The following is a 20,622-nucleotide window of genomic DNA, read 5'->3' as shown; positions in this document are numbered from 1 at the left end:
AGGGGCTGGGTCGCTTGGCCAGGTGTCTGGGGAATCAGAGACACGGGGCTTGGACTTCTGGGGTCCTTGGCACTATGAGGCCTGGGACCCTGGCGCAAGGTGGGGGGTCGGTGCCAACAGGTAAGGAAAGCGGCTCTGAAGTCAGATGCCCACGTCCTGGGAGATCAACCACCTGGACCCTGGGGAAAAGGGCTCAGAGGGGTGGGAAGTGGGCAGGTCTGCACCTTGGAGCTGGGCAGGTGGTCCCACCTAGGTAAACTGGACACCTGAGGGTCTGGTGACTGTTAGGGACAGGAGTGTCTCCCAGCATCAATGTGGTGAGGGCCAAGATGCCCAGGAGCTCTGTAACATCTCAGGGTCGGGAGCCCAAAGGCCTGAGTCCGTGTTTCTTGTGGGAGTGGGATGTTCAGCCCTAGTTTTCCTGGGATCAGACATGACTGTGTCCCCTTCTGGGGGGACCCTGAGTTCTTGTGTCCCGGGGCTGGGACATCTGCATCTCCTAAGAGGAGGGGGCTCATCTCCTTGTTTTCACGGGGCCAGGCATGCCTGGGTCCTTTGGGGGTGCAGTGACACCCTATTTTTATAAGGCCAGGACGCCTGGGTTGTTTTCTGGGAGGGAACTTCAACCGTTATGTTCCAGAGCCACGATACCTGCGGGGCGGGGAGCGGGGGAGCGGGAAACAACCAGTCCCTGTCTTCACGGAGTCAGGATGCTCAGGTCTCCTTGTGGGAGGGGGACCCTTGGTGGCACAAGGCCAACTCCAGGGTGCCATTCTGGGGGTAGGAACAGAATGCACAACCCCGTTTCCAGCCCATCCCAACTGCCCATCCTCACCCGAGAGTGCGGGACAGGGGAGCAGGGAGGTGGATGGTGCACAGCCCGGGTATCACCCCAGCCGGTCGCAGGTTTGCAGGCCGCGCGCCCGGCAGCTCCCCGGGGCCCGGTTCCCCGCCCCCCGCGCCGAGGGCTCCCCCAGATCCGGGCGGACGCGGCGGTGGCCAATGAGCGCGCTCGCCGTCTCCGGGAGCTGGGCCGGCTCTGCCCGCCTGGCATTGGGCACGCGGTGGGCAGCGGCGGGCGGGGCCTGGGGGGTCCTCGCGCCTGGTTGGGCCAGGCTTGTTGCTGGGTAACGGGGCGGCGAGTTTCCCCTGGCAACGGCGGCGGGTACCGCTCACTGGCTGGCCGGGAAGGAGGGGGGGCGCGGGCGCAGGCAGGCCCCGCAGACCCCAGCAACAGCGCGCGGCCCCCGCCCCGCCGGGAAGCGGTAACCTTCACACGCGCGCCGGCCGCTCGGACCCTGCGGACGCCCGCGCCCCCGCCCAGCCCCCACCCGGCCCCGGTCCAGCCTCCCGGCCTGCAGGGCCGGCCACACCGAGGGGACCCGGGAGACCCCTTCCCCACCGCGGAAAGCCAGGACTCAGGCCCTGCGGTGAAAAGTTAAGTCCTTCCCAACTCCCTCTCCCCAGGCTGCGAAATCTGCTTGCCCAGAATGGCAGACAAGATCTTGGAGACGAGACGGTTTTAGGTCTGCAGTCAACCAGCTCTATTTTGTCTCACCAGCACTTCACATCCGGCTTACTACCTCCGGGCACTATTCTAAGTATGTTACAAATACGAACTCATTTTATCTTCACAATATTTTTGGTCCTGCCTGTGCAGATCCCTTTTGGACAGTGAGGGAAACTGAGGCACAGAGCGGAGAAGCTGCTTGCTCAAGGTCATCATTTGAACCCATGTCGGAGTTATCGTTCCTCTGTGCTGTGCGCCCGTGGGAGAGGCATTAACACTCAAAATACGAAACTGCACAGAGTCAAGAAAACGCACTCGTGGACGGCCTGCGGACCACTAGTTTGAGACCCCAGCCTCAACATGAGCATCTGTGCAAATAGACACGAACTGTCCTCCTCCCAGAAGTAGACCTGGGCATCCTGACCCCATGAACACAGGGACTTGCTGTCTCTCCCCAAACTGGATTCAGGCATCATGGCTTTTGAACACAGGGCTGATGATCCTTCCCAGAAGAGAATGCAGGCATCTTGGCCCCATAAAAATAGGGGTCCTGGGCCGGGCTCAGTAGCTCACGGCCTGTAATCCCAGAACTTTGGGAGGCCTAGGCCGGTGGATCACCTGGGGTCAGGAGTTCAAGACCAGCCTGGCCAACATGGCTAAACCCTGTCTCTATTAAAAATACAAAAATTAGCCGGGCGTGGTGGTGCACACCTGTAGTCCCAGCTACTCAGGAGGCTGAGGGAGGAGAATCGCTTGAACCTGGGAGGCATAGGTTGCAGTGAGCCAAGATCGCACCACTGCACTCAAGCATGGGTGACAGGGCAAGCAAGACTCCATCTCAAAAAAAAAAAAAAAGTAAAAAAAAAAAAAATTAGCCAGGCATGGTGGCACATGCCTGTAGTCCCAGCTACTCGGGAGGCTGAGGCAGGAGAATCGCTTGAACTGGGAGGAGGCTGAGGCAGGAGAATCGCTTGAACTGGAAGGAGGCTGAGGCAGGAGAATTGGGAGGCATAGGTCGCAGTAAGCTGAGATCATGCCACTCTGCACTCCAGCCTGGGTGACAGAGTGAGACTGCGTCTCAAAAAAAAAAAAAAAAAATAGGGGTCCAGGCCGGGTCCAGTGGTTCATGCCTGTAATCCCAGTACTTTGGGAGGCTGAGGTGGGAGGATCATTTGAGCCCAGGAGTTTAAGACCAGCCTGGGCAAAATGGTGAAACCTCATTTTTACTAAAAATACAAAAATTAGCTGGGCGTGGTGGCACAGGCCTGTAGTCCCAGCTAATCAGGAGGCTGAGGCAGGAGGATCACCAGAGCCTGGGAAGCGGAGGTTGCAGTGAGCCAAGATCACACCGCTGCATTCAAGCGTGGGTGATAGAGTGAGACCCTGTTCTCATAAAAGAGGCGGAGGGGTCCTTAGCTAGAGGTTTCCTTGCTTGGATTCTCAGAGAGTCAACGGACTCCCACACTGGTAATAGTAATGACAAGTAACATATATTAAACATCCATCATGCCCCAGTACTTTTATTGTTTAATTTTTTTTTGTTTATTTATTTATAAAACAGGGTCTTTTTATTTTATTTATTTATTTTTTTGAGACAGAGTCTCGCTCTGTCGCCCAGGCTGGAGTGCAGTGATGGGATCACAGCTGTCTGTGGTCTTGTCCTCCTGGGCTCCAGCCATTCTCCTTCCTCAGCCTCCCAAGTAACTGGGTCCACAGGTGCACACCACCACGCCTGATTATTTTTTAAATTTTTTGTAGAGACAGGGGTCTCACTATGTTGCCTAGGTTGGTCTGGAACTCCTGGGCTCAAGCAATCCTCCTGCCTCAGTTTCTCAGAATGCTGGGATTACAGGCATGAGCCACTGTGTGCCTAGCCCAATGTTTTATTGTTATTCACATTCTGACTGCACATCCTATGAGGTAGGGACCTGTGCTGTCTCAACTCACAGATGAGGAAACTGAGGCACAGAGCTGTGACCACTTCCCCAACATCACCCACAGGTGGCAGAGGGGATTCTAAGTCAGGCCATCTGGACTCACAGCCCACAGTCTTTCATGAGGGCTGCATGCGGGCTTAGGAAACCAAGGCAGGCGAATGGGTTCAGGCCAGGAGTTGGAAACATGCCTGGGTAGGCAACACAGTGAGACCTCATCTCTACAGAAAATTTAAAAATTAGCCAGGTGTGGTGGTGTGCACCTGTAGTCCCAGCTACTCGGGAAACTGAGGTGGGAGAATTGCTTGAGCCTAGGAGGTGGAAGCTGCAGTGAGCTGTGATCATCAGCTGTGATCATGCCACTGCACTCCAGCCTGGGCAACAGAGCAAGACCCTGTCAAAAAAAAAAAAAAAAAAAGAGGCAGCCCTTGACCCACCCACAAACTTCTTTTTCTTTGCCCACAAGGGTTTTGTGTTGTTGTTGTTTTGGGGGTGGGGGTCGGTTTTTTATTTTTGAGGCGGAGTCTTGCTCTGTTGCCCAGGCTGCAGTGCAGTAGCGCGATCTCGGCTCACTACAACCTCCGCCTCCCGGGTTCAATCGATTCTTCTGCCTCAGCCTCCAGAGTAGCTGGGATTACAGGCATGTGCCACCACACCCAGCTAATTTTTGTATTTTTAGTAGAGACGAGGCTTTGCCATGTTGGCCAGGCTGGTGTTTTGTTTTGCTTTTGAGAAAGGGTCTCGCTCTGTCGCCCAAGCTGGAGTGCAATGGTGCGATCACAGCCTACTGCAGCCTCGACCTCACAGGCTCAAGCGTTCCTCCCACCCCAGCCTCCCCAGTTAGGTTTCCGCATGTTGCCCAGGCTGGTCTGGAACTCCTGGGCTCAGGTGATCCACCCATCTCGGCCTTCCGTGATACTGGGATTACAGACGTGAGCCACCACGCCCAGCTGTGGGGAGGATTTTGACTAGTGATAACGCTTATGGCCAAATAGACTCTTGGCCTCTCCCCATCTTTTCTACCTCCAGCCACCAAGCCAGATTCCCACTATCCTTCACACTCATTTTCTTCTCAAAAGAACATTATAGGCCGGTGTGGTGGCTCACACCTGTAATCCCAGCATTTTGGGAGGTCAAGGAGGAACGATTGCTTGAGGTCTGGAATTTGAGACCAGCCTGGGCAACATAGTGAGACCCTGTCTCTACAAACAAACAAACAAATAAAGAACATTCCGGGGCTGGGCATGGTGCCTCATGACCATAATCCAGGCACTTTGGGAGGCCAAGGAGGGAGGATCACTTGAGCCCAGGAGTTTGAGACCAACCTGGGCAACATAATGAGACCCCATCTTTACTAAAAAAAGAAAAGAAAAGAAAAAAGAAGGAGAAGAAGGAGGAGGAGGAGGAGGAGGAAGAAGAAAAAAGAAGAAGGAGGAGGAGGAGGAGAAGAAGAGAACATTCCAGGCTGGGCATAGTGGCTCATACCTGTAATTCCAGCACTTTGGGAGGCTGAGGCAGGTGGATCACCTGAGATCAGTAGTTCGAAACCAGCCTGGTCAACATGGTGAAACCCCGTCTCTACTAAAAATACAAAAAAAATTAGCCAGGCGTGGTGGTAGGTGCCTGTAATCCCAGCTACTCAGGAGGCTGAGGCAGGAGAATCACTTGAACGCAGGAGGTGGTGGTTGCATTGAGCAGACATTGGGCCACCACATTCCATCCTGGGTGACAGAGCGAGACTCCGTCTTAAAAAAAAAAAAAAAAAGAACATTCCAGTACATCTGGCCTCCGAGTATCTACCCTGCAATGGGCAGTCTGGACATTGATCAGTGAGTGAGAGGTGTGAGGTACAGGTGGGACCATGAGCTAGCAGAGGGCTAGAGACTGCCCCTCTCTCAACTTCATCAGTGTCAAGCAACAGGAAATACTGACAATAATTAGTTATACAAGTGATAATAGCTAACACTTATTAGGCACTTACTATATGTCCAATACTGCACTAAATGACTTCCAGTGTGATCTCATTTAATAAGTGTCTAAAGCAGCATTTCTCAAACGTCTTTGAACTCGATCTATGGCCAGAAAAATACCTTCCTTGTAACCTAATATGTATTCACTATACATCAATAAAATTTCCACAAAATATTACTTTCCGTTGACTTCATAATTTTTTAAAATTATATTTTGTTTTGTTTTTTTAAGAGGGAGTCTGGCTCAGCACCCAGGCTGGAGTGCAGTGGTGCAATCTCGGCTCACTGCAACCACCGTCTCCCGGGTTCAAGTGATTCTCCCATCTCAGCCTCCTGAGTAGCTGGGATTACAGGCACCGCAATCATGCCCGGCTAATTTTTGTATTTTTAGTAGAGACGGGGTTTCACCATGTTGGCCAGGCTGGTCTCGAACTCCTGACCTTAGGTGATCCACCCACCTCGACCTCCCAAAGTGCTAGGATTACAGGCGTGAGCCCCTATGCCCGGCCTCAAAATTGTATTTTGTAGTGTGTTTTTTTTTTTGACAGAGTCTTGCTCCGTTGCCCTGTTTGGAGTGCAGTGGCACGATATCTGCTCATTGCAACCTCTGCCTCCTGAGTTCAAGTGATTCTCCCGTCTCAGCCTCCCGAGTAGCTGGGACTACAGGTGTGCGCCACCAATTTTTGGCTAACTTTTATATTTTTGGTAAAGACGGGGCTTCACCCTGTTGGCCAGGCTGGTGTCGAACTCCGGACCTTAAGTGATCCACTCGCCTCGGCCTCTCAAAGTGTTAGGATTACAGGCATGAGCCACCGTGCCCAGCCTGTAGTGTATTTTTGTTGTTGGCGTTTTGAGACGGAGTTTTGCCCTTGTCGCCCAGGCTGGAATGGAATGGCGCGATCTCGGCTCACCGAAACCTCCTTCCCTTGGGTTCAAGCAATTCTTCTGCCTCAAGCTCCCGAGTAGCTGGGATTACAGGCACCCACCACCATGCCCAGCTAATTTCTGTATTTTTAGTAGAGATGGGGTTTTACCATGATGGCCAGGCTAGTCTCAAACTCCTGACCTCAGGTGATCCACGTCCCCCGGCCTCCCAAAGTGCTAGGATTACAGGTGTGAGCCACCATGCCCGGCCTGTGGTGTATTTTTTTTTAACTCTGGTCAAAGCAGTCATGCACACCTATAATCCCAGCTACTAGGGAGGCTGAGGTGGGAGGATCGCTTGAGCGCAGGAGTTTGAAACCAGCCTGGGTAACACAGCCAGAATCTGTCTCAATTAAAACAACAACAAAACCTCTTGTCTAGGTCAGTAAAATTGCAGGTAGAAGTTGTGGTAATACAAAATTGTGTACTTTTATCACCACTTACACACCATACACCTAAAAAGAGTGAATATTCTTGTGTCTAAATACATCTCAGTAAAGCGCAAGTTGGTTGGGATGTGAATGCATCTTACTGAGTAAAATGCATTAAGTCAGCCGGGCATGGTGGTTCACACCTGTAATCCCAGCACTGAGGGAGGCGGAGGCAGGAGGTTTGCTTGAGCCCATAAGGTCAAGACCAGACTGGGCAACATAGCGAGACCGCCCATCTCTACAAAAAAATAAAAATTAGCTGGGCGTGGTGGTTTACACCTGTAGTCCCAGTTACTTGGGAGGCTGAGGCAGGAGGATCTCTGGAGCCCAGGAGTTTGAAGCTGCAAGGCTATTGTACCACAAGGCTATCCATTGTGCCACTACACTCCAATCTGGGCGACAGAGTGAATCTTTTATCTAAAAAAAAAAAAGGCTGGGCCAGGTGCAGTGGCTCACGCCATAATCCCAGCACTTTGGGAGGCCGAGGAGGGCAGATCACGAGGTCAGGAGATCGAGACCATCCTGGCTAACATGGTGAAACACTGTCTCTACTAAAAAATACAAAAAATTAGCCGGGTGTGGTGGCAGACGCCTGTACTCCCTGCTACTGGGGAGGCTGAGGCAGAAAGGCCTGAACCTGGGAGGCGGAGCTTGCAGTTTGCTGAGATCGTGCCACTGCACTCCAGTCTGGGCAACAGAGTGACATTCCGTCTCAAAAAAAAAAAAAAAAAAAAGCTGAGTGCAGTGGCTCACACCTGTAATCCCAGCACTTTGGGAGGCCAAGACAGGCGGATCCCGAGGTCAGGAGTTTGAGACCAGCCTGGCCAATATGGTGAAACCGCATCTCTACCAATAATACAAAAATTAGCTGGGCATAGTGGCGCACACCTGTAGTCCCAGCTACTAGGGAGGCTGAGGCAGAAGACTTGCTTGAACCCAGGAGGCGGAGGTGGCAATGAGCCGAGATCATGCCACTGAACTCCAGCCTGGGCGACAGCGCGAGACTCTGTCTCAAAAAAAAAAAAAAAAGTAAGATCCATGTAAGTGATGTCATATGTCATAATCCATGGTTTACTCATGACCCACAGTTTGGAAAACACCAGGAAGAAGGAAGGGACAATGAATAATCGGGGAAAGCGAAAGAGGAGGGAAAGTGAAAGAGGGAGGAAAGCTGAGGAGTTCCCAATGTTGCAAATGGGGAGATTTCACGTGAGATATAGATTACCTGCATCTCTTGGGGGAGCTAAGAGTGTGTACTTGGAGGCAGTCAAGTTTGAGAAGTCTGACATCCTTACTCAGCCAGCCCCACACTAGGCACTGGAAGGTGAGTCACTCTGGTGAGGCGATTGCGATTGGGTGAGACCCAGTAAGGATGGAAAGTGTAGAGGAGACAGGAATCCACGGCTTTGGAAAAAGGAAGGACAAAACTCACCAAACCAGAGCAGGGCAGGAAGTAACAATGAGAAACTGAAAAAGAAACGGAATGGAAAGCTATGAGACAGGATGAAATTTGGCATGGGGTCTGCCCAGGCATGTCCATGCCAGGTGCCCAGGGCTGCTTCCACGACGTGGGTCCCCTGCCAGATTTGTGGTGAGTGTGGCCAGGTGTGCATGCTCCGACGTGTGTGCAGTGGGCCAGTTAGCAAGAAGCTGTCACAGGTGTGACTTTGTGACATGTGTGGGTGGTCAGTTTCTTCTATGTCTGATTTGGTTTGTGTCTCTGAATGTCAGTTTCTTTCCTTTATTTTTATTTTTAAGACGGAGTTTGCTCTTGTTGCCCAGGCTAGAGTGCAATGGCACTATCTCGGCTCACTGCAACCTCCGCCTCCCGGGTTCAAGCAGTTCTCCTGCCTCAGCCTCCCAAGTAGCTGGGATTACAGGCATGCGCCACAACGCCCGGCTAATTTTGTATTTTTAGTAGAGATGGGGTTTCATCATGTTGGTCAGGCTGGTCTCGAATTCCTGACCTCAGGCAGTCCACGCACCTTGGCCTCCCAAAGTGCTGGGATTACAGGCATGAGCCACCGTGTCGGGCGAATGTCACTTTCTGATAGTTTTAATGTGTTAGCTGTGAAATTGTGTGAGTGCATTTGTGTATGTCCCTGTGGGAGTGTGATTTGGATTTGGCCGTGTATCCAGGTATCCCTGTAACAGGTGTCTGTGTGTATGTGTGTGTCCCCTGTGCCTATCAGCAAGTTTGTGTTTCCTGATAAGCACTCCGCCTATGTCTGTGTGGTTGCACCACCGTGTGTGTGGTGTGGGTGCCTGTTCGGTAGGGTTGTTTGTGAACACAGTTTGTGGGCCCAGGTGTGATCATCAGTGTGGGTGTTTCTGCAACTGTGTGTGGCCCTGTCATTGTGTCCGTCTGCTTGTCCAGGGGACCCTGTTAGTGAGTCTGTGCATTTCCGTCTGGGTGTGTGTAAGTGTGAGCCCCATCAGTATGTGAGTGTGTGTGCTCATGCCCCTGTCCATGGTGTGGATTTGCGAGACTGTGGCCTTGTGTCTGTGAGTACATCCTCTGGGCTCTGCCTGCACGTGACTTTGTGGACCCTGGAACGCCCGTCGGTCGGTCTGTGTACGCATCGCTGGGGGTGTGGATCTGTGGGTCCCAGTCAGTGTGTGTGTCCGACTGTCCCGGTGTCTGGGCGATCTCCCCACACCCCGCCGCACAGCGCCTGGGTCCTCCTTGCCTTGGGCTAGGCCCTGCCCCGTCCCCCGCTGCAGGGAAACCCCCGGCGCGGAGGTAGGGGGGGGCGCGGCGCGCGCCTGCAAGTCCTGACTTGTCCGCGGCGGGCGGGCGGGGCCGTAGCGTCACGCGGGGGCGGGGCGTGGGACCCGCCGGGCGGGGGCGGGGCGGGGCGGGGCGGGGCGGCTTTGGAGCGGGCCCGGGATCCGCCGGGCGGCCTGAGACGCGGCGCGAGCCACATGCGAGCGGGCGCCTGGCGGCGGCGGCGGCGGCACCAGCGATCCCAGCAGCGGCCACGACGCGGACGCGCCTGCGGCCCGGGGAGCAGCAGCAGCCACAGCCACAGCAGCCGCCACTGCAGTTAGAGCGGCAGCAGCAGCGACAGCCACAGCAGCAGCCGCCGCGGAGAGCGGCGCTCGGCGGGCGCGCCCTCCTGAAGGAAGCCGCCCGCCCCCCACCGCCGCCCCCTCCGGCGTGTTCATGCCCCCGGGGTGAGTGTGCGCGCCCCGAATCCTCTCCGGCGGCGATCGGCCAGGCCGGGTGGACTCCCTGGAGGAGGTGACAGGAGTGCAGGCGGAGAGCAGTGTGGGCGCCCTGCCTCCCCACACCGCGCCTCTCCAAACCCCGCGAGGGACCCTGGGCCAGGGTCGCCGGGTGAGAGGCGGCTCGGCGTTGGGGCGCCGGTCTGGGCGCACAGGTGCCTCGGCGGTCTGGCGGGTTTGTTTACAAACAATGGGGTGCGGGCTCGGCAGCGCCCCCTGGCGGCCAGTGCGGCCCCGGGGAAGAGGGTCGACCCCAGGGGTGCCCCAGCCCCCAAAGTCCGGGAGGGGCGGGGGGGCGGCACGGAGGGGCGGCCACACCCAGGGCGCGCGCCCGCTGGGGGCGGCGACGGGGGGCGGCTCGCGGGCCGTGGAGTCTGCGGCTCCTGCGGGCGGGGGCTGCGCCCCAGCAACAGCCGGTTATTGGCCCCGCGCTCGCCTGGCGGGCGGGGCGGGCGCACGTGGCGGCGGTGGGGGGGGCTGTGACAGCGGAGGGGGGTGTCTGGGACCGCCGTGGGAGCGCGCGTGTGCGGGGTTGTGGATCTGCAGGTGTCTCGCCTGGGTGTGTGCGCGTGTCTGGCTCCGAGTTTGTGCTGGGTTCTGCAGGGAGTGGTGGTGTCGATCCAGAGGAATGTTGGGGTTTCTGACCCGTCGGGGTGTCTGCGTGAGTCCCCGCGCCTGTTTGTGTGGGGTTCTGTCTGTGGGTGCCCTGCTTGTGGGGTGGGTGGACCTGCGTGTGTTGTCGGTGAGAGTTGTCTGTGTGTGCTGTTCCGGGATGATACTGGGGGTCTGTGGTGCCTGCGTGTGCTGGGGTGTGGAGGTTGTAGTGTGTGTGTGTTGCTGGAGTGAGCTGTTTGTGTGTTTATGTGTGTGTCTTGCCCGAGCGTGCGATATGTGTGCTTGTGTCTTGCCTGTGTGTTTCTGTCTTGGCTGAGGCCGTCTCTGTATCTCCGGGGCATGTGTCTTTTGCCCAGCGTTTGTGATGCTGCGCCTGCTAAATGCAAATGTCTGTTTTCTGTCCAGGTGTCTGTGTGAGTTGTCAGGTGTGAGTGTGTGTGTGTATGTATGTGTGTGGTGGGGGGTTGTTTCAGTCTGGGTTTGGCTTGTGTGTCTGGCATCAGCGTCTGGGATTTGAGGACCCAGGATCTGTGGGGTCTATGCAGTGTAGACGGTGGGTGTTGCTGGCAGCCTCTGGATGGGGTTGTGTCTGAGCCTGTGTGTGTGTGTGTGTGTTGGGTCTGAGGGGCTTGTCACTGTGATCGGCTGGCTCATGTGTGTCATGTGGGCTGCGTGTGTGTAGTGTTTATGTCAGTCACGTGAGACCAGTGTTTTCTGTGGGTGCGCTAGGTGTGTGTGCTGCTGGGCTGTGTGGGATTAGAGTTAGCTGTAGGGTGTGTGTGTGTGTGTGTTGCTGACAGTTGGTGATGATGTTTGAGGGTTGCGTGAGGAGGGTGGGTTGGTGTCTGGTGGTGTGTTGAGGTCTGATGGCATGTGTCTGTGTGTGCCTGATCTACGTGTGTCCTGAGAGTTGGTGACATGTGGGTGTGTTTTGGGGGTGTTGATGTATGTGTGTCCGTGGGTGTCTGTTTTGTGTTGATATGTGAGTCCAGAGGTGTGCAGGTCTTATCTCTGGAGTGAGTGTGTGTGTGTGGAGAGGGGCATGTTTGGGAACTGAGGCAGTGCCTAGCTTGTGTGTGTGTGTTTGTGTTTGCAAAGGCTGCATTGTGTTTGCATGTGCCCCTGGGCATATCAACAGTGGGTCAGTGTGTGAGACTTTGACAGTTTGGATGTGTGGGGATGGATTGTGCCAGCCAGTGTGCGCAGTATGTAGAGTGCTTGTGATGGTCTGTCTGGATGCTCCTGCTTTGGTCGGGGGTGTGTGTGTATTGTGTGTACTGAGTAGTGATGTCCGAGACTGGGGCCATCTCAGTGTTTGTGTGCAAGTGGGAGGTGGGGTGGGCGGTCAGGCTGGCCAGTCCCGTGTGAGTCCTTGTGTGTGTGCTGTGGGGGCCTCGCTGTGCCTCACTGCCCTCCCTGTGTGCCCGTCGCTGTGTTGGGAAAGTTGTCCCCACCAGCCCATGCTGTGAGTCCCAAGTGGAGTGAGTTTGTGTTGTGGGACTGTCACAGCCCTCATACACACACCTGCTAGACCCCTCCATCCGTCCTGTGTGAGCCCTGTCCTTGCTGTGAGAGCCGTCCTGTGCCCCCTGTCCCTCCTGTGTGCCCATCACCGTATGCACGGGAGGCTCTCCAGGCCAGCCAGGACCCGGTGGTGTCATCCCCCGGCTGGGCGTGTCTCTGTGGGGCCGTCACCCCCTCCGCATGCACACACACCTCCACTCTTCTCCATCTGGGTCCTAACCCCGGGTAGGCTGGAGGTACAGTGGGCCCTGGTACTTCCCTGCTGACCTGCTCCTCCTCCCGTGTCCCGCAGGCCCCAGGGAGCGCCATGGCCCGCGCACGCCAGGAGGGCAGCTCCCCGGAGCCCGTAGAGGGCCTGGCCCGCGACGGCCCGCGCCCCTTCCCGCTCGGCCGCCTGGTGCCCTCGGCAGTGTCCTGCGGCCTCTGCGAGCCCGGCCTGGCTGCCGCCCCCGCCGCCCCCACCCTGCTGCCCGCTGCCTACCTCTGCGCCCCCACCGCCCCACCCGCCGTCACCGCCGCCCTGGGGGGTTCCCGCTGGCCTGGGGGTCCCCGCAGCCGGCCCCGAGGCCCGCGCCCGGACGGTGAGTGCCCGCCCCGCCCCCGGGGTGATAGGAGCCGGGAAGAGAGAGGGCTGGAGACTCGGAGGAACTGGAGAAGTGGGAGAGGACGGGGGGAGGTGGCGGGCCCAGCCGGGCCACTGGGAGGGTGTGGCCAATGTGGTCTTTGTGTTGCAAGAAGCAGGAAGACGGAGGCTGGGGGTGGAGGGGGAGGTCAAGTGGGAAGTCCCTCCTGGAATCTGACTGCAGTCCCCGAATTGCAGCCCACTGTCTCTTCCGGGCCTGGGGCAACAGCTGCATCCCAGCTCCCCTCCCCCAGTCTGGGTCCTCTAGACCCCCTGGAGGATTCCTGTTGCAGGGAGAGTGGGCCGAGCGGGAGGACTGTCAACTCTGGCCTCTGGGGAGGGGTCGAGAGGCCTTTTGCTTTTATTTGCATCTCTTTGGCCAGGGGCTGTCCTCAGCAGTCCCGGCGGAGGAAGGAGAGGGGGAGGGGCCATTGTGTTGGGAAGTCCCCTCGGGGAGGTGGGGGAGTCTTGGGGAGGGAAGGGTTAAAGGTCCCCTGCCTGATGGGCTGTTAACCCTGTGGTGCCCGTGGAGCCCCATCCCTGCCGGCAGGCGCTCTAGGGAAAGTGTGTCCTGGTTTCCCATCCCCCATCTTGTCCCGGCAGCCCAAGGGGAGCGAGGAAAGAGAAAACTTCCCTAACTCAGTTCCTGGAAGCCCTGGAAGGGGACACCGATTTCAAGGCCAAGGTCACAGATGTGGAAACTGAGGCCCTGGCTGTAGGCCTTAGGGAACCCTCAGGCCAGGACCTGGTGGGACGGGAGGGCAGGAGCCTCCTAGGGCGCTCAGAAGTGGGGGGGGGGGGGGGGCAGGAAGGCATCTCCCGCGTCCCAGCCCCCCAGGCCCGCGCTCTGAAGCTGCCACAGTCTCTGGCCTTCTGGTCTCTAGGCCTCTGCCACATCCGGAGGTGTGGCTTCCCTGTGGTTGGACACGAGAGGGCAGGAGACCTGAGGCTTGTGATCTGGGTGGGGTCAGTCACTGTATCCCTGTGTGACCTTGGGATACTCCCTAAGGGCGGGCCTCAGTTTCCCTGCCTGTCACATGGAAAAGGCAAAATGTGGCCCCTTTGGAAAATAGAGGTCGTTAAGCCTGACCACCCCCGGGGTCACCTCTCTGGCCGTCTACCTTCCACACTGACAAGGGCCGTGGGGACGTAGCTGGCCAGACAGGTGACCCCAGAGCGGCGTCCCCAGGTACTTCTTGCTTTCTGGTGCCTGTGGAGGAGAAGCTGAGAAATTGACTCACTAGCGATGGGATCACTAGAAATGAGGCGGGGAGCAGTGGCTGGGAAAGAGGGGAGCAGGCCGAGACACCTCGAGGCCTGGAGGGGTGGTGGGTGCTGACCGCGCCCCTCTGCCTCTCCAAGGTCCTCAGCCCTCGCTCTCGCTGGCGGAGCAGCACCTGGAGTCGCCCGTGCCCAGCGCCCCGGGGGCTCTGGCGGGCGGTCCCACCCAGGCGGCCCCGGGAGTCCGCGGGGAGGAGGAACAGTGGGCCCGGGAGATCGGGGCCCAGCTGCGGCGGATGGCGGACGACCTCAACGCACAGTACGAGCGGCGGGTGAGTGCTGGGGGTGGGGTAGACGGCAGGTGGGACTTCCGCCGGAGGAGGGGGCGGCAGGCGGCCCCCGCCAGATGTGCGGCAGCTGCTGCCCTGCGCGGCTGGGTCGCTCCGCGGACAGGCAGGTGGGGGGTAAGTGGGTGGGGGGGAATCGCGCGCCCGCAGAGCCGCCCAAGGACTCCGCGCCGCGGCTGGCATAGCCGGAGCCCGAGCCAGGGCCAGGGCCAGGGCCAGGGACTAGGCCGCCGAGGAGTGGAGCTGCGCGCCCGTGGCCCGCGGCCGCGGGGACTGAGGGCGGCGCTGGGCGGCGCGGCTCATATATCCCGGGCTATTTATAGCCGGTGAGTCAGCAGCCGCGCCGCGCCCGCCCCCTGCCGTCCCTCTCGCGCGGCCCGCAGCGCCACACAGTTTCCCGGGCGCCGGGGCGGGCCGGGGACCGCAGGGGTGGGCTCGCAGCCCCGCCCCGCGGGAGGCCCCGCCCCCCAGCCCCTGGCACGGCCTCGATTTTTTAAAACAAATATTCGAAGCCCACAGCAGAGAATGGGAAATCACAAACATCATGCGCCCACCAGGCAGCTCTGTTCAGTTTGAACATTACACCCGCATTGCTTGCTTATTAAGAAACCAAACAAAACCGCAGAAACGCATGTGGTGAAGCTCCTTACTCTCCCCATCCCTTCCCCCTCCTTGCATCCAAAGGAAATCTCTCGAGTTGGCCTCTCTCAACCCCTGCAGGTGTTGCTTTTACTCCGTATTTACCAGGCCAGAACCAGGGCTTAGAATCATGGAGCATTCTTAGCTTAGCGTATATGACATAGTTTTTGTTTCTCCCCAGAATTCCTTTTTCCCTCAATATTAGGCTTCAGATTCACCATATGGGCAAAAGAGCTTCCATTCATCTATGTTCAGCCAGGCACGGTGGCTCACTCCTGTAATCCCAGCACTTTGGGAGGCGGAGATAGAAGGACGCTTGAGCCCAGGAGTTCCAGACCAGCCTGGGCCACATAATGAGATCCCCGTTGCTACAAAAAATACAAAAATTAGCCGGGTGTGGTGGCGCGGGCCTGTAGTCTCAGCTACTTGGGAGGCTGAGGTGAAAGGGTCCCTTGAGCCAAGGAAGTCGAGGCTGCACTGAGCCATGAAGGGTCACTGAACTCCAGCCTGGGGGACAGAGCAAGACCATCTCAAAAAAGAAACAACAAATACAGCCATTTTCGGCCTGGTGCAGTGGCCCACGCCTGTAATCCCAGCCCTTTGGGAGGCGGAGGCAAGTGGCTCACTTGAGGTTGGGAGTTTGAGACCAGTCTGGCCAACATGGTGAAACCTCGTCTCTACTAAAAATACAAAAATTAAGGCCGGGCGTGGTGGCTCATGCCTGTAATCCCAGCACTTTGGGAGGCTGAGGAGGGCGGATCACCTGAGGTCGGGAGTTCGAGACAAGCCTGACCAACATGAACAAACCCCGTCTCTACTAAAAATACAAAATTAGCCAGGCGTGGTGGCACATGCCTGTAATCTCAGCTACTCGGGAGGCTGAGGCAGGATAATTGCTTGAAACCGGGAGGCAGAGGTTGCGGTGAGCCGAGATCGTGCCATTGCACTCCAGCCTGGGCAACAACAGCGAAAATCTGTCTCAAAAAAAAAAAAAGAAACAAAAAGTAGCTGAGCATGGTGGCACACGCCAGTAATCCCAGCTACTTGGGAGACTGAGGCAGGAGAATCTCTTGAACCCAGGAGGTGGAGGTTGCAGTGAGCCGAGATCAGGAGATCATGCCACTGCACTCCAGCCTGGAGGACAGAATGAAACTCTGTCTCAAAAAAAAAAAAAAAAAAAGTCATTTTCACTGCTACATAGTATTCTGTTGGATAAACATAGTATCCTTATTCATTTTCTCATTGATGGATATTTAGGATAGATATGTATTTTTATTTTATGTTTAGAGACAGGGTCTCACTGTCTCCCAGGCTGGAGTGCCGTGGTTCAATCACAGCTCCCTGCAGCCTCCAACTCCTGGGTTTAAGGGATCCTCCCGCCTCAGCCTCCCAAGTAGCTGGGACCACAGGCAGATCCACCATGCCTGGCTAATTTTTATTTTATTTTTTTGTAGAGATCAGGTCTTTCTGTGTTACCCAGGCTGGTCTCAAACTCCTGGCCTCAAGTGATCCTCCTGCCTTGGCCTCCCAAATTGCTGGAATTATGGGTCTGAGCTACCTCACCCAGACTATTTTTAAATGTATTTCAGATTTTATTTTATTTATTTATTTTTTGAGACAGAGTTTCGCTCTTGTTGCCCAGGTTGGAGTGCAATGGTGCAATCTCGGCCCATTGCAACCTTCACCTCCCGGGTTCAAGTGATTCTCCTGCCTCAGCCTCCCAAGTAGCTGAGATTACAGATGCCTGCCACCATGCCCAGCTAATTTTTGTATTTTTAGTAGAGACGGGGTTTCACTATGTTGACCAGGCTGATCTTGAATTCCCGACCTCAGGTGATCCACCCACCTCGGCCTCCCAAAGTGCTGGGATTACAGGTGTAAGCCACTGCGCCCGGCCATTATTTATTGCCTTTTTTCCTCTCCCAATCATGCATATTTCCGGGTGCGCTCTTGTGTTTCTAGAGTAGGTACCTGGGTGGTCTGCCCACCATCCACCTTACTAGGTGATTGCTAGCTTTCTCACCAGGTGGCACCCACAGCAGTGTGACAGTGGTGGGTTTTGTAACTTACACCAATCCGATGTGCCCCCTTTGCCACCATCTCCTGGCCCCAAGAGTTGCTAGGGAGTGTTGAGGAGGCTGGGCTGGTACCAGGCGACTCACTACCAGGTAGCATGAGGACGATGAGGATCATTTAACCTTCTGTAAAGTGAGTTTCTCCTTCCCCTGCACCTGAAGGGAAGGAGGTTAGGTGGTCCCCACTTAGCACAGAGCCTGCCTGTGGAGCTACAGGGAGTGGCAGAGGATTGCAGCTCTCTGTACACTTAAAAAAAATTTTTTTTTTGACACGGAGTCTTGCTCTGTTGCCCAGGCTGGAGTGCAGTGGTGCAATCTCGGCTCACTGCAACCTCCGCCTCCCGGGTTCAAGCGATTCTCCTGCCTTGGCCTCCCTAGTAGCTGGGAATACAGGTGTGTGCCACCAGGCCCAGCTAATTTTTGTTGTTTTAGTAGAGACGGGGTTTCCCCATGGTGGCCAGGCTGGTCTTGAACTCCTGACCTCAGGTGATCCACCTGCCTTGGCCTCCCAAAGTGCTGGGATTACAGGCGTGAGCCACCTTGCCCAGCCATTTTTTTTTTTTTGAGATGGAGTCTCGCTCTGTCACCCAGGCTGGAGTGCAGTGGCGCCATCTCGGCTCACTGCAAGCTCCACCTACCGGGTTCACGCCATTCTCCTGCCTCAGCCTCCGGAGTAGCTGGGACTACAGGCGCCCGCCACCACACCCGGCTAATTTTTTTGTATTTTTAGTAGAGATGGGGTTTCACTGTGTTAGCCAGGATGATCTCGATCTCCTGACCTCATAATCCGCCCGCCTCGGCCTCCCAAGGTGCTGGGATTACAGGCGTGAGCCACCGCACCCGGCCTGTATTTTTTTTTTTTTTTTTTTTTGAGACAGAGTTTTGCTCTTGCCCAGGCTGGAGTGCAATGGCACGATCTCGGCTCACCGCAACCTCCACTTCCCAGGTTCAAGCGATTCTCCTGCCTCAGCCTTCCCAAGTAGCTGGGATTACAGACATGTGCCACCAAGTCCGGCTAATTTTGTATTTTTAGTAGAGATGGGGTTTCTCCATGTAGGTCAGGCTGGTCTCAAACTCCCGACCTCAGGTGATCCGCCTACCTCGGCCTCCCAAAGTGCTGAGATTACAGGCGTGAGCCACCGCGCCCGGCCTGTATTTTTAATAGAGACGGGGTTCTACCATGTTGGCCACACTGGTCTCAAACTCCTGACCTCAGGTGATCCTCCCGCCTTGGCCTCTCAAAGTGCTGGGATTACAGCTATAAGTCACTGCGCCGGGCCTCTGTACTCTTTTTAGTATTGCCTTTAATTTTTACCAGTCGGGAGCCTTTCCTAGGACCTAGCCTCCTGCCTGCCCACTTCCTAGGATGTTGGAGCTGAGAGGGTCCTAGAGACCACCTTGTTTTCATCCTGCCACTGGAGAGGGGGCAGGGGTTTCACTCGGCGTTGCCTAGAGGTGCTTCTGTTGAAGCCTCTGCAATGGGGGGGGCTCTTCCCAGTTCTCCTCCTTCCACAGATTGTTCTAGAACTGCCAAGACTGTGGGCACCCTGCTCCTTTCTCCTCATCTTGCCAGCCCTGTAGGGAGGGGCAGGATAGGTTGCAGTCCATCCTTCAGCCCCTTGGGGGATGTCTTTCTCAAATGTACAACAGAGACGGGGCAGTCACAGCTAATGTGCCACGCACTCGCTTGGTGCCCAGCTCTCTGCTGAAGGCATTCCGTGTTTGTCCTCTGCCTCCAGGTCTCATGTCCTGGATGAGGATGTGACCTCCGAGACATGGACATTAGCCCAGGCGGGGGGAGGAGCTGGAATAGGGTGGGCGAGACTGTCGCCTCGCTGCCCCTGGAGCTGACCATCCCCACTCCCATCACCATACTCAGTCCCCTGCTAACTGCCCCTTCTCTCTCTTTTCCCCAGAGACAAGAGGAGCAGCAGCGGCACCGCCCCTCACCCTGGAGGGTCCTGTACAATCTCATCATGGGACTCCTGCCCTTACCCAGGGGCCACAGAGCCCCCGAGATGGAGCCCAATTAGGTGCCTGCACCCGCCCGGTGGACGTCAGGGACTCGGGGGGCAGGCCCCTCCCACCTCCTGACACCCTGGCCAGCGCGGGGGACTTTCTCTGCACCATGTAGCATACTGGACTCCCAGCCCTGCCTGTCCCGGGGGCGGGCCGGGGCAGCCACTCCAGCCCCAGCCCAGCCTGGGGTGCACTGACGGAGATGCGGACTCCTGGGTCCCTGGCCAAGAAGCCAGGAGAGGGACGGCTGATGGACTCAGCATCGGAAGGTGGCGGTGACCGAGGGGGTGGGGACTGAGCCGCCCGCCTCTGCCGCCCACCACCATCTCAGGAAAGGCTGTTGTGCTGGTGCCCGTTCCAGCTGCAGGGGTGACACTGGGAGGGGGGGGCTCTCCTCTCGGTGCTCCTTCACTCTGGGCCTGGCCTCAGGCCCCTGGTGCTTCCCCCCCTCCTCCTGGGAGGGGGCCCGTGAAGAGCAAATGAGCCAAACGTGACCACTAGCCTCCTGGAGCCAGAGAGTGGGGCTCGTTTGCCGGTTGCTCCAGCCCGGCGCCCAGCCATCTTCCCTGAGCCAGCCGGCGGGTGGTGGGCATGCCTGCCTCACCTTCATCAGGGGGTGGCCAGGAGGGGCCCAGACTGTGAATCCTGTGCTCTGCCCGTGACCGCCCCCCGCCCCATCAATCCCATTGCATAGGTTTAGAGAGAGCACGTGTGACCACTGGCATTCATTTGGGGGGTGGGAGATTTTGGCTGAAGCCGCCCCAGCCTTAGTCCCCAGGGCCAAGCGCTGGGGGGAAGACGGGGAGTCAGGGAGGGGGGGAAATCTCGGAAGAGGGAGGAGTCTGGGAGTGGGGAGGGATGGCCCAGCCTGTAAGATACTGTATATGCGCTGCTGTAGATACCGGAATGAATTTTCTGTACATGTTTGGTTAATTTTTTTTGTACATGATTTTTGTATGTTTCCTTTTCAATAAAATCAGATTGGAACAGTGGATACTCTTTCTGCTTGCCTTCCCTGCAGCCTGGCCTTGGAGAGGCTTCTGATCGGGGGCTCTGCTCTGTGAGCCCTGCTTGTGAGTGGGTGGGAGAGGTGGGCCCTGGCAGTTGTGGCTCCATCAGAAGAAAGGCTAAGGGGCCTGGGCTTCTCCAGACCGGGACGCTCCTAGCCTTCATCATCCCCATTCCCGGTAAAAGTGAAGCTTGGCCTGGTGCCATGGCTCATGCCTGTAATCCCAGCACTTTGAGAGGCCGAGGTGGGTAGATCTCTTGAACCCAGGAGTTCAAGACCATCCTGGGCAACACGATGAAACTCCGTCTCTACAAAAATAAAAAAATAAAAAAAATTAGCCAGGCATGGTGGTGTGTGTCTGTAGTCCCAGCTACTCAGGAGGCTGAGGCAGGAGGATCACTTGAGCCCAGGAATTGGAGGCTGCAGTGAGCGATGATCAAGCCACTGCACTCAAGCTTGGGTGACAGGGTGAGACCCTGTCTCAAAAACAAAATAAAAAGTGAAGTCCCCATGAGGTGTTGTAGGGGCGCTTGATATTTAATGGATGAGTGAAT

At 56.7% G+C, this 20,622-nt stretch overlaps 1 protein-coding gene, 1 long non-coding RNA gene and 2 other non-coding genes across 10 annotated transcripts in view, besides 12 other annotated features; 3 read left to right on the top strand and 1 right to left on the bottom strand.

Moving 5' to 3' along the window:
• LOC124904731 (uncharacterized) overlaps positions 1–2,200 on the top strand; it is a 5,521-nt gene extending 3,321 nt beyond the window's left edge. The window contains exon 2 of the long non-coding RNA XR_007067278.1: positions 1,468–2,200. This is a non-coding gene — a long non-coding RNA (uncharacterized LOC124904731). The remainder of the gene's footprint in view (positions 1–1,467) is intronic.
• Positions 915–1,244: a silencer, noted in NCBI's record as "silent region_10844". NCBI's record gives its function as "represses an Ori minimal core promoter by ATAC-STARR-seq in GM12878 lymphoblastoid cells {active_cell/tissue: GM12878}" and the evidence as "EXISTENCE:reporter gene assay evidence [ECO:0000049][PMID:35858748]".
• Positions 7,836–8,459: an enhancer, noted in NCBI's record as "H3K27ac hESC enhancer chr19:47735673-47736296 (GRCh37/hg19 assembly coordinates)". NCBI's record gives its function as "activates a minimal SCP1, AML or CMV promoter by ChIP-STARR-seq in primed H9 embryonic stem cells {active_cell/tissue: H9 hESC(primed)}" and the evidence as "EXISTENCE:reporter gene assay evidence [ECO:0000049][PMID:30033119]".
• On the top strand, positions 8,015–20,051 carry BBC3 (BCL2 binding component 3). 7 transcript variants are annotated; one of them, XM_006723141.4, is made up of 4 exons: positions 8,015–8,093; positions 12,429–12,717; positions 14,121–14,311; positions 18,957–20,051. In XM_006723141.4, exons 2-4 carry the CDS (start codon positions 12,444–12,446, stop codon positions 19,071–19,073), a joined length of 582 nt encoding a protein of 193 aa, XP_006723204.1. In that variant the 5' UTR covers positions 8,015–8,093; positions 12,429–12,443; the 3' UTR covers positions 19,074–20,051. The 7 variants fall into 7 exon arrangements, with proteins under 7 accessions (XP_006723204.1, NP_001120712.1, NP_001120713.1 ...); NM_001127240.3 differs by lacking the exon at positions 8,015–8,093 and adding an exon at positions 8,208–8,360; XM_047438606.1 differs by lacking the exon at positions 8,015–8,093 and adding an exon at positions 8,414–8,428.
• Positions 8,140–8,409: an enhancer, noted in NCBI's record as "active region_14862". NCBI's record gives its function as "activates an Ori minimal core promoter by ATAC-STARR-seq in GM12878 lymphoblastoid cells {active_cell/tissue: GM12878}" and the evidence as "EXISTENCE:reporter gene assay evidence [ECO:0000049][PMID:35858748]".
• Positions 9,169–9,288: an enhancer, noted in NCBI's record as "active region_14861". NCBI's record gives its function as "activates an Ori minimal core promoter by ATAC-STARR-seq in GM12878 lymphoblastoid cells {active_cell/tissue: GM12878}" and the evidence as "EXISTENCE:reporter gene assay evidence [ECO:0000049][PMID:35858748]".
• Positions 9,429–9,658: a silencer, noted in NCBI's record as "silent region_10843". NCBI's record gives its function as "represses an Ori minimal core promoter by ATAC-STARR-seq in GM12878 lymphoblastoid cells {active_cell/tissue: GM12878}" and the evidence as "EXISTENCE:reporter gene assay evidence [ECO:0000049][PMID:35858748]".
• Positions 9,799–10,518: a silencer, noted in NCBI's record as "silent region_10842". NCBI's record gives its function as "represses an Ori minimal core promoter by ATAC-STARR-seq in GM12878 lymphoblastoid cells {active_cell/tissue: GM12878}" and the evidence as "EXISTENCE:reporter gene assay evidence [ECO:0000049][PMID:35858748]".
• Positions 12,379–12,818: a silencer, noted in NCBI's record as "silent region_10841". NCBI's record gives its function as "represses an Ori minimal core promoter by ATAC-STARR-seq in GM12878 lymphoblastoid cells {active_cell/tissue: GM12878}" and the evidence as "EXISTENCE:reporter gene assay evidence [ECO:0000049][PMID:35858748]".
• Positions 12,851–13,793: an enhancer, noted in NCBI's record as "NANOG-H3K27ac-H3K4me1 hESC enhancer chr19:47730339-47731281 (GRCh37/hg19 assembly coordinates)". NCBI's record gives its function as "activates a minimal SCP1, AML or CMV promoter by ChIP-STARR-seq in naive H9 embryonic stem cells {active_cell/tissue: H9 hESC(naive)}" and the evidence as "EXISTENCE:reporter gene assay evidence [ECO:0000049][PMID:30033119]".
• On the bottom strand, positions 13,854–13,933 carry MIR3190 (microRNA 3190). The gene has a single exon (NR_036158.1). It is a non-coding gene; the product is annotated as a microRNA 3190 (primary transcript).
• On the top strand, positions 13,856–13,931 carry MIR3191 (microRNA 3191). The gene has a single exon (NR_036159.1). It is a non-coding gene; the product is annotated as a microRNA 3191 (primary transcript).
• Positions 14,039–14,338: a silencer, noted in NCBI's record as "silent region_10840". NCBI's record gives its function as "represses an Ori minimal core promoter by ATAC-STARR-seq in GM12878 lymphoblastoid cells {active_cell/tissue: GM12878}" and the evidence as "EXISTENCE:reporter gene assay evidence [ECO:0000049][PMID:35858748]".
• Positions 14,369–14,928: a silencer, noted in NCBI's record as "silent region_10839". NCBI's record gives its function as "represses an Ori minimal core promoter by ATAC-STARR-seq in GM12878 lymphoblastoid cells {active_cell/tissue: GM12878}" and the evidence as "EXISTENCE:reporter gene assay evidence [ECO:0000049][PMID:35858748]".
• Positions 14,708–14,874: a silencer, noted in NCBI's record as "fragment chr19:47729258-47729424 (GRCh37/hg19 assembly coordinates)". NCBI's record gives its function as "represses an EF-1alpha promoter that drives an FKBP-Casp9 reporter gene in an ReSE screen in K562 erythroleukemia cells {active_cell/tissue: K562}" and the evidence as "EXISTENCE:reporter gene assay evidence [ECO:0000049][PMID:32094911]".
• Positions 15,002–15,501: an enhancer, noted in NCBI's record as "H3K4me1 hESC enhancer chr19:47728631-47729130 (GRCh37/hg19 assembly coordinates)". NCBI's record gives its function as "activates a minimal SCP1, AML or CMV promoter by ChIP-STARR-seq in naive H9 embryonic stem cells {active_cell/tissue: H9 hESC(naive)}" and the evidence as "EXISTENCE:reporter gene assay evidence [ECO:0000049][PMID:30033119]".

The sequence above is a fragment of the Homo sapiens genome, chromosome 19, assembly GCF_000001405.40.
Source record: "Homo sapiens chromosome 19, GRCh38.p14 Primary Assembly".
Lineage (NCBI taxonomy): Eukaryota > Metazoa > Chordata > Mammalia > Primates > Hominidae > Homo > Homo sapiens.
This window is presented reverse-complemented; position numbering and strand designations above follow the sequence as displayed.